At 49.7% G+C, this 10599-nt stretch overlaps 1 protein-coding gene across 2 annotated transcripts in view, besides 1 other annotated feature; it reads left to right on the forward strand.

Annotated features, from left to right (window-relative positions):
• Positions 1–8993, forward strand: part of VRTN (vertebrae development associated) — a 57016-nt gene extending 48023 nt beyond the window's left edge. For both annotated transcript variants that reach the window (XM_011536911.3, NM_018228.3), the window contains one exon: positions 5768–8993. In XM_011536911.3, coding sequence (XP_011535213.1) covers positions 5769–7877 — 2109 coding nt within the window. In that variant the 5' untranslated portion in view covers position 5768 and the 3' untranslated portion in view covers positions 7878–8993. The remainder of the gene's footprint in view (positions 1–5767) is intronic.
• Positions 7397–7975: an enhancer, noted in NCBI's record as "H3K4me1 hESC enhancer chr14:74825115-74825693 (GRCh37/hg19 assembly coordinates)". NCBI's record gives its function as "activates a minimal SCP1, AML or CMV promoter by ChIP-STARR-seq in naive H9 embryonic stem cells {active_cell/tissue: H9 hESC(naive)}" and the evidence as "EXISTENCE:reporter gene assay evidence [ECO:0000049][PMID:30033119]".
• Positions 8994–10599: the final 1606 nt, after the last annotated feature.

Below are 10599 nucleotides of genomic sequence, written 5' to 3' on the forward strand. Positions count from 1 at the left end.
TAGGAAGCAGTCAGTAAATGGTAGCTATTTTCCTAATTTTGTTTACAAAGTATCTAGCAGAGCACTCATTTGTATGCAGTTGTAAAATAGCATTCAACAAGTGACATAATGCAAGAAAAACAAAAACCCAACGTCTTGCTTGTTGACATCATTGTCTGCCAAAATGAAAAAGCTTGTCTGTGTGTACACAGTTTGTTCTTCAGGATTCCTTTTTTAAAAATTGTATAATGTTAAGTGCTGTCTTTACTAAGGACTGATATGGATTATCTCCTGAATCCAAAGAAAAGTAATAGTTTTCTTTTTAAAGTAAATATAAAAGGCATAAAAGTTGACAGATTAATAAAAGCCAACTTCTAGAGTTAAATGATATGGTACAAATAGAAATATGGTGAGAGGTTATACCAGATTTGTTATAATATACACATTTTAAAGAAATCCACAGCCTAGAAATTTTGTCCAAAGGTGATTCTGATTACCAGGTTTTTTTTTTTTTTTTTTTTTTTTTAAGACAGTCTCACTCTGACACCCGGGCTGGAGTGCAGTGGCATAATCTCAGTCCCCTGAGGCTCAGGTTATCCACCTCAGCCTCCTGAGTAGCTGGGACTACAGGCACATGCTACTATGCAGGCTAATTTTTTTTTTTCCGTAGAGATGGGGTTATGTTATGTTGTCCAGGCTGGTCTCTAACTCCTAGGGCTCAAGCTATCTGCCCACTTCAGCCTCCCAAAGTTCTGGGATTACAGGCATGAGCCACTGCACTTGGGCTGATTACCAATTTTTAAACGACTTTCCTTCTTTGGTTATCAAGTAAAATTCTGGTGGCTGTTCCCTCAGTACTTTTTTTTTTGAGACGGAGTCTCGCTCTGTTTCCAGGCTAGAGTACAGTGGTGCGATCTTGGCTCACTGCAACCTCCGTCTCTTGGGTTCAAGTGATTCTCCTGCCTCAGCCTCCCGAGTAGCTGGGACTACAGGCGCGGGCCACCATGCCCAGCTAATTATTTTTTTTTTGTATTTTTAGTAGACACAGGGTTTCACCATGTTGTCCAGGATGGTCTTGATCTCTTGACCTTGTGATCCGCCTGCCTCGTCCTCCCAAAGTGCTGGGATTACAGGCCTGAGCCACCACCATGCCCGGCCTCAGTACTTTTAATTTTTTTTATTTATGTTTTATTTTTTATTTTTGAGATGGAGTCTCACTCTGTCACCCAGGCTGGAGTGCGGTGGGCGATCTCGGCTCACTGCAACCTCTGCTGCCCAGGTTCAACCAATTCTTCTGCCTCGGCCTCCCGAGTAGCTGGGATAACAGGCACCTGCCACTGCACCTGGCTAATTTTTGCATTTTTAGTAGAGATGGGGTTTCACCATCTTGGCCAGGCTGGTCATGAACTCCTGATCTCGTGATCCACCTGCCTCAGCCTCCCAAAGTGCTGGGATTACAGGTGTGAGCCACTGCGCCCCAGCCCTACTTTTAATTTTTTAAAACATTTTTACTAAATTACAATTTGCATTCATCCACTCCTTTCAAATGTAGCTTTTTTGTTTTGTTTTGCTTTTTGGGGACAGTCTCCTCTGTTGCTCAGGCTGAAGTCCGGTGGCGTGATCATAGCTCACTGTAACCTCGAACTATGCTCAAGTAATCTTCCTGCCTCAGCCTCCCAAAGTGCTGGGATTATAGGCGTGTGCCACCACGCCTGGCCTTAAGCGTACAGTTTGATCTGAAAAATGTATATACCCAAACACCATTTTTAAACCTAAGGGTCATCTAAAGCAATTTATTGAACTCTGAGAACAAGTTTAATTTGAGAACATGATCTGAGAAACCAGAAAGGATAATGGTCCCTCCCCTAATGTAAAAAGTGTCTATGAAGGAATACCACTCTGCTTTGCAACTGAACAATAAAAACATACCAATAATTGAGATGATTAGTTTTGTGTTAAAAGGTGGTTAATGGTTTGAACAGGAGATGAATCACAGACCCTAAAGAGCATCTGGGGCCAGGCATGGTGGCTCACGCCTGTAATCCCAGCACTTTGGGAGGCCAAGGTGGGTGGATCACCTGAGGTCAGGAGTTTGAGACCATGAGACCACCCTGTCGGACATGGTGAAACCCCATCTCTACAACATAAGCTGGGCGTGGTGGCATGTGCCTACAGTCCTAGTTACTCTGGAGGTTGAGGCAGGAGAATCGCTTGAACCCTGGGGGCGGAGGTTGTAGTGAGCAAAGAATGAGCCACTGTACCCCAGCCTGGGTGATAGAGTGAGATTCTGTCTCAAAAAAAAAGAAAAAAAGTGTTTGGTTTCAACTAACTTGTATTGTGACCTTGGGCAAATTAGGTTAACTTCAGTTGCCTCAGTTTCCTCACCTGTAAATTGGGGATAATGGTAGTACTTAAAGTATTAGTGTCAGGATTAGGACAGTGCATGGCAAATAGTAAATGCTCAGTAAATCATAGTTATTAGATCTTTGTGCAGTGAATAGATTGTTGCTACCCCTTTGAAAGGCTGTTTCTGGGGCAGCACTTCTCAAACTTTTTGGTTTCAGGACTCCTGTACGGTCTGCAGACCCTGAAAACCTTTTGTTTATATAGGTTATATCTACCAGTGTATATTGTACACAAAATTAAAAATAAGAAATAAATTTTAAAAAGCCTGTTATACAGTAACAAATAATCATTTTTATGAGAAGTGACATTTCCAGAGCAAAAAAACTACTTTTTTTTTTTTGAGATGGAGTCTCACTCTGTCGTCCAGGCTGGACTGCAGTGGCGTGATCTTGGCTCACTGTAAGCTCCGCCTCCCGGGTTCACGCCATTCTCCTGCCTCAGCCTCCCGAGTAGCTGGGACTAGAGGCGCCCGCCAGCGTGCCCGGCTAATTTTTTGTATTTTTAGTGGAGACGGGCTTTCACCATGCTAGCCAGGATGGATTTTTGTATTTTTAGTAGAGACAGAGTTTCACCATGTTAGCCAGGCTGGTCTTGAACTCCCGACCTCAAGTGATCTGCCTGCCTCGGCCTATCTTCTTTTAAACCAGATACTATGGAGACTTGGAAAAATGTTAAATAATGTCCGAGAGCACATTATTCTACATTTTTACATTTTACATTTTTCTGTATCTCCATAGTATTTGGTTTAAAAGAAGATGAGTACTTTCTCATATCTTTCTATATTCAATCTGTTTTGATATATTGTTTTGGTGGAAGCATCTGAAGAAAATCTAACTTCATCAGATATATAGATGGAAAAAGGAGGAGTATTTTGATCACTTTTTCAGTGGATTTTTTTGATATTATACCAAAACTTTACAAGTAGTAGCTTCTCAAAGCTTAGTTATAATGTGGAATTTGAAACCATATCCATGAACTTTTTGTACCCTGTTATATTAAAATCCATGGGTCTTTTTTTTTTTTGAGATGGAGTCTCGCTCTGTCCCCAGGGTGGAGTGCAGTGATGCAATCTTGGCTCACTGCAGCCTCTGCCTCCCGGGTTCAAGCAATTCTCCTGCCTCAGCCTCCTGAGTAGCTGGGACCACAGGCATGTGCTGCCACTCCTGGCTAATTTTTGTATTTTTAGTAGAGACGGGGTTTCACCACATTGGCCAGGATGGTCTCGATCTCCTGAGCTCGTGGTCCGCCCGTGTCGGCCTCCCAAAGTGCTGGGATTACAGGTGTGAGCCACCACACCCAGCCCCATGGGTTTCTTTTATACTTTGAATGATTCTTCTACAAGTGCATGACTTTGTAACAGCACCCATTGGCTATTTGGAAAATGTTCACTGAGTGATGTAGATCTTTAGTGGAAACAATTGACAATTCATTATACAGCATAAAAAATTATATTTGTTAGGGCTGGGCGTGACGGCTCACACCTGTAATCCCAGCACTTTGGGAACCTGAGGCGGGCAGATCATTTGAGGTCAGGAGTTTGAGACCAGCCTGGCCAACATGGTGAAACCCCGTCTCTACTAAAATTACAAAAATTAGCTGGGCATGGTGGCATGCGCCTGTAATCCCAGCTACTCGGGTGGCTGAGGCAGGCAAATCTCTTGAACCCGGGAGGTAGAGGTTGCAGCCAGTTGAGATTGCGCCCCTGCACTCCAGCCTGGGTGACAGAACGAGACTCAGTCTCAAAAAAAAAAAAAAAAAAAATTGTCACCACTGATCTCATCAGAAAAATTGAGATTTTCAGATGGAAGCTGATAAGTTTTTATGGGCAGCAAATAGTTGTTTCCCTTGAAATTACAGTCTCACTTCATTCATTTTTGAGAAAATATCTGCCAAATATATCCAAATCTGAATGACCAGTGTCTATTAGACTTTCTTTCAAGTAAAAATTGTATATCATGCTAAAGGGAGCTAATTTATCAGAAAAGCAGAACAATCATCCAATGGAGACATTCATCATACCTCGGGTTGCAGCAAGCGTGTTATAAGTATGCCCCATTTGATTACACCCAGTATTGAAAACGACATGTACTTAAGGATAACGGTTTTCTTTCTTTTCTTTAAAAAAAAAATAGCATCATTTATTTATTTATTTGAGACAGAGTCTCGGTCTGTCACCCATGCTTGAGCACAGTGGCATGATCTCTACTCAGTGCGGCCTCCACCTCCCAAGTTCAAGTGATTCTCGTGCCTCAGCCTCCTGAGTAGCTGAGATTACAGGTGCATTCCACCATGCCTGGCTAACTTTTTTTTTTGTATTTTTAGTAGCAATGGGGTTTCACTATGTTGGCCAGGCTGGCCTCAAACTCCTGACCTTAAGTGATCTGCCTGCCTCAGCCTCCCAAAGTGCATGAGCCACTGCACCTGGCCTCTCTCTTTTTTTTTTTTTCTGAGACAGAGTCTCATTCCTGTCACCCTGGCTGGAGTGCAGTGGTGCGAGCATTGCTCACTGCAGCCTCGGATTCCCAGGCTCAGATGATCCTCCTGCCTCAGCCTCCCAAGTAGCCGGGACTATAGGCACATGCCACTGTGCCCAGCTAATTTTTGTATTTTTTGTAGAGATGGGGTTTTGCCATGTTGCTCAGGCTGGTCTTGAACTCCTGGACTCAAGCAGTCCACCCACCTCAGCCTCCCAAAGTGCTAAGATTACAGGCATGAGCCACCACGCCCAGCCAACATCTCTTTATTGTCTCATTTATGCCCAGAACAACTCAAGCATATTTTATTAATTTTTTTTTCCCTTTTGGAGACAGTCTCACTTTGTTGCCCAGGCTGGAGTGCAGTGGCTCTAACTCAGCTCACTGCAACCTCTGCCTCCTGGGTTTAAGTGATTCTTCTGCCCTAGCCTCCAGAGTAGCTGGGATTACAGGCTCTTGCCACTATGCCTGGCAAATTTTTGTATTTTTAGTAGAGATGGGGTTTCACCATGTTGGCCAGGCTGGTCTCGAACTCCTGCCCTCAAGTGATTCATCTGCCTTGGCCTCCCAAAGTGCTAGGATTACAGGTGTAAGCCACCGTGCCTGGCCTATAAAGCAGATTTTAACACACCATTCCCATTTTATAGAAAATGAACAGAAGCATAGAGAGGTTAAGTGATCCAAGGTGACCAAGCTTATGTCAGAGCCAGGATTCAAAGCCAGGTTCTAGAGACCACACTTTTCCTCAGTACCATTCAGTGATGAACCAATCCCGTCTGTTGTGGGAGGACGGGAGCAGATAGACATTACCTTTTGGGAGAAAGTGCAGGAGTGGACAGGGCACCTTTGCTAGTCATCATCTGGGCACTTCGACCTGACTACTGCCCCTTTATCTTTTGCCCTGGCAGGATGACTTCTCGGAACCAGCTGGTGCAGAAGGTGCTGCAGGAGCTGCAGGAAGCAGTGGAGTGCGAAGGCCTGGAGGGTCTCATAGGTGCTTCCTTGGAGGCCAAGCAGGTCCTGTCTTCCTTCACTCTCCCCACCTGCCGGGAGGGAGGCCCTGGCCTCCAGGTGCTGGAAGTGGACTCGGTGGCCCTGAGCCTGTATCCAGAAGATGCTCCACGGAACATGCTGCCGCTGGTGTGCAAGGGGGAGGGCAGCCTGCTGTTCGAGGCGGCCAGCATGCTGCTGTGGGGTGACGCAGGCCTCAGCCTGGAGCTGCGGGCCCGCACCGTGGTAGAGATGCTGCTGCACAGACACTACTACCTCCAGGGCATGATCGACTCCAAAGTGATGCTGCAGGCCGTGCGCTACTCCCTATGCTCTGAGGAGTCCCCTGAGATGACCAGCTTGCCCCCCGCCACGCTGGAGGCCATCTTCGATGCCGACGTCAAGGCCTCCTGTTTCCCCAGCAGCTTCTCCAACGTGTGGCACTTGTATGCTCTCGCCTCTGTCCTCCAGCGGAACATCTACTCCATCTACCCCATGCGCAACCTCAAGATCCGGCCCTACTTCAACCGTGTCATCCGGCCCCGCCGCTGCGACCACGTGCCCTCCACGCTGCACATCATGTGGGCTGGCCAGCCCCTCACCAGCCACTTCTTCCGCCACCAGTACTTTGCCCCTGTGGTGGGGCTGGAAGAGGTGGAGGCTGAAGGTGCCCCTGGCGTGGCCCCAGCTCTTCCAGCCCTGGCCCCACTCTCATCGCCGGCCAAGACCCTGGAGCTGCTCAACCGTGAACCTGGCCTCAGCTACTCTCACCTCTGTGAGCGCTACAGCGTCACCAAAAGCACCTTCTACCGCTGGCGGCGGCAGTCCCAGGAGCACCGGCAGAAGGTTGCTGCCCGCTTCTCCGCCAAGCACTTCCTGCAGGACAGCTTCCACCGGGGGGGCGTCGTGCCACTTCAGCAGTTCCTCCAGCGGTTCCCGGAGATCTCCCGCTCAACCTACTATGCCTGGAAGCATGAGCTGCTGGGCTCTGGCACCTGCCCGGCCTTGCCCCCCAGGGAGGTGCTGGGCATGGAGGAGCTAGAGAAGCTGCCGGAGGAGCAGGTGGCTGAGGAGGAGCTGGAGTGCTCCGCACTGGCGGTGTCAAGCCCTGGAATGGTCTTAATGCAGCGGGCCAAGTTGTACCTGGAGCATTGCATCTCCCTGAACACACTGGTACCCTATCGCTGCTTCAAACGCAGGTTCCCTGGCATCTCACGGTCCACTTATTATAATTGGCGGCGAAAGGCCCTCCGGAGGAACCCCAGCTTCAAGCCGGCACCAGCCCTCTCTGCTGCTGGGACTCCCCAGCTAGCATCTGTTGGGGAAGGGGCTGTAATTCCTTGGAAGAGTGAGGCGGAAGAGGGGGCAGGGAATGCCACAGGTGAGGACCCTCCCGCCCCCGGGGAGCTCCTGCCACTAAGGATGCCCCTGTCCCGTTGGCAGAGGCGTCTGCGCAGGGCTGCCCGCAGGCAGGTGCTGAGTGGGCATCTCCCTTTCTGCCGCTTCCGCCTCCGCTACCCCAGCCTGTCACCTTCTGCCTTTTGGGTCTGGAAGAGTCTTGCTCGGGGTTGGCCCAGAGGCCTGTCCAAACTTCAGGTGCCGGTCCCCACCTTGGGCAAAGGGGGGCAGGAGGCTGAGGAGAAGCAGGAGAAGGAGGCTGGCAGGGATGTGACAGCTGTGATGGCCCCACCTGTGGGGGCTTCTTCAGAAGATGTAGAGGGAGGGCCTTCCAGAGAGGGGGCCCTGCAGGAGGGGGCCACAGCCCAGGGCCAGCCCCACAGTGGGCCCTTGCTGAGCCAACCTGTGGTGGCAGCAGCGGGTGGCAGGGATGGCCGGATGCTGGTGATGGACATGATCGCTACCACGAAGTTCAAGGCCCAGGCCAAGCTGTTCTTGCAGAAGCGCTTCCAGTCCAAGAGCTTTCCCTCCTACAAGGAGTTCAGTGCCCTCTTTCCCCTCACTGCCCGCTCCACATACTACATGTGGAAGCGAGCCCTCTATGACGGCCTGACCCTGGTAGATGGCTGACAGGGAGGTACAAAAGGGGCTGGGAAGAAGGGGGACCAGTTTGGAGAGGGTCAGGGACCTGAGCTGACCCCAGGCTTGGCCAGGATGTCCTTTGCTCTGGGTCCCACAGTGTCTACCCTAAGTCCAAGGGTATATTTGTGTTATTTTCTGGCTCCAGGACAGAGAATGCCAGAAATCAGCCATCTGGTCTCCCGTAGGAAACTGTGGGACCAGAGATATCCTCTTTCGTTGTTTGCTGGTCATATTTTTACTGTTATGATTTAGTTTTTGGTTTTGATTTGAGTGGGTTGGTTGGCCCCCTTGCTGGAGTTGGAAGCCGTATGTATGTCAGGGGGTTTAGAGGGGGGTTGGTTAGCTAGAGCTGCTTTCAGCTTTTCCTGGAGACAAAAGGAGTGTTATAGCATGATCATCGGTCCCACTGGGCAGAACGTTATCTTCAGTTTCTTTTGGGGGTTGGCATCCTCTTTACTCAGTTGTTTCCCAAAGGAACATTAGGCTCGAATATGGGGGCCAGGTGTGGTGGCTTATGCCTGTAATCCTAGCGCTTTGGGAGGCCAAGGCAGGAGGATCACTTGAGGCTAGGAGTTAGAGACCACCCTGGGCAATGTAGTGAGACCTCATCTCTTAGAAAAAAAAAAAGAAAGAAAATCAAATGTAGAGCTGATCAGCAGCTTGTGCCTGGCATCCCCAAGGGAGAAGGTGCCAGGTCAGCAGGAGCAGCAGCAGGGATGTATAGAAAGAACCACAGCTGGCCTCTAAAGGATGGCACTGAGGCACCGGAGATCTTGAGGCACTGGAGATCACTGAGGGGCTGGCCTGTCCCCTGCAAGGAGTGTGGGACCAGGTGGGGCAAGGCTGGGAGATGCAGGCTCTGTTTGCAGATTATGGCCCAGAGTCTCTGCTTGTGGGTGCTTGATCCACCTGCTGGGACCCTGCAGTCCTCGGCCAGCCTGGCTGTCAGTTGGGGATTCCACCTTTCTGCTGAGCGTCTTCTCGGAGCTGGAGGCCCATCTTCAGTGAGAGATCACAAAGCGGCCAGGCAGGTGGGAGACTGAATTTGCCTTGTTCGAGAGTAACGTTTGAAAACCAAAGAAATAAAGTGATGCAGTGCCCACAGTGCTTGGTCTCTGGTATTTGTTTTGCCAGGATGTGATTGCCCATTCCCATGCTCCCCTTTGGCTTAAGGGGACAAGAGTGACCTTCTCTTTCTCGATGGGATGCACTCAGGTCTAGAGCTTGGGGGATGAAAAGAGTTATTCTGGGGACTCTGAATTGGATCTAGAAGTGACCTTGGGTGCTTTTCCAGCTGAAGGGTGGGGCTCTGGCTACCTGGAAATGCCCTCCCTCCCATGGGAGAAACCTGGCGTTCCCAGGTGGGGAAGGGGTTGCTGCCACCACAGGTTGGCTCGACAGGGGCCCACTGTGAGGCTGGCCCTGGGCCATGGAGGCCAGGCCAGCACCTGGAGTCAAGTCTGTGCCAGACATTCTATTTAGTCCTTGCAATGTGCTCGGGCAGGTAGGCCCAGTCCTGTGACTGGGACACTCTAAGGACACAGCCTTAGAGTGGCTAATTTGCATGCTCCCTCTGTCTGGTGGGACAAGGGTGAGGGCAGCCTGCTGTAATGAGCAGCAGCAGGGATGTAATGGGAGCTTTAAGCCCAGGCCTTTGCCTGTTTGGTGAGGGAGGAATCATTAGGGAAGAAGTTCCCGTAGGCCCTTCTTCTGTCTGGGTTTCCTGCAGTGGCTGGCATCCTTGTGCTCCTGGGGAGTCATTCTTGCCTCTGCTTTTTATTCACCCCACATCCAATCCATCAGCAAGTCCTATTGACGCTGACTCCAAATGATACCCAGAACCCTCTCTCCACTCTACTGCCATTGTCTCTCCTGGCCCACATCACAGCTTCCTACCCCATCTCCCTGCTTCCCTGCTTCCACTCTTGCCCCTATACCCCTATACAACCCATTATTTTTATGATTTTTTGAGACAGAGTCTCGCTCTGTTGCCCAGGCTGGGGTGCAGTGATGTGATCTTGGCTCACTGCAACCTCCACCTCCCAGGTTCAAGCAATTCTTTGCCTCAGCCTCCCAAGTAGCTGGGATTACAGGCACCTGCCATGATGCCTGGCTAATTTTTGTATTTTTGGTAGAGATGGGGTTTCACCACCTTGGCCAGGCTGGTCTTGAACTCCTGATCTCGTGATTCACCCACCTCGGCGTCCCAAAGTGCTGCAACCCATTATTTTTATTTATTTATTTTTTGAGTCAGAGTCTCTCTCTCTCACCTAGGGTGGAATGCAGTGGCACAATCTCAGCTCACTGCATCCTCCACCTCCTGAGTTCAAGCAATTCTCATGCCTCAGCCACCCATGTAGGTGGTATTATAGGCACGTGCCACCATGCCTGGCTAACTTTAGCCTTTTTAGTAGAGACGGGGTTTCACTATGTTGGCCAGACTGGTCTCGAACTCCTGACTTCAAGAGATCTGCCTGCCTCGGCCTCTCAAAGTGCTGGGATTATAGACGTGAGCCACCATGCCTGGCCCCTATACAACCCATTCTCCATAGAGCAGTGAGAGAGTTTATGAAATCGGATTTTCACTTTCCTGCCTAAAATGTGTCCGTGGCTTCCCTTTACTCCTAGAATTCCTTGTGCTGCTTTACAAAGCCCAGACAATCTGTCCCTGACTCTGCCTCTTGCTCCATGCTGGCCCTAACCCACCACG

This window comes from Homo sapiens, chromosome 14 (assembly GCF_000001405.40).
Source record: "Homo sapiens chromosome 14, GRCh38.p14 Primary Assembly".
Classification (NCBI taxonomy): domain Eukaryota; kingdom Metazoa; phylum Chordata; class Mammalia; order Primates; family Hominidae; genus Homo; species Homo sapiens.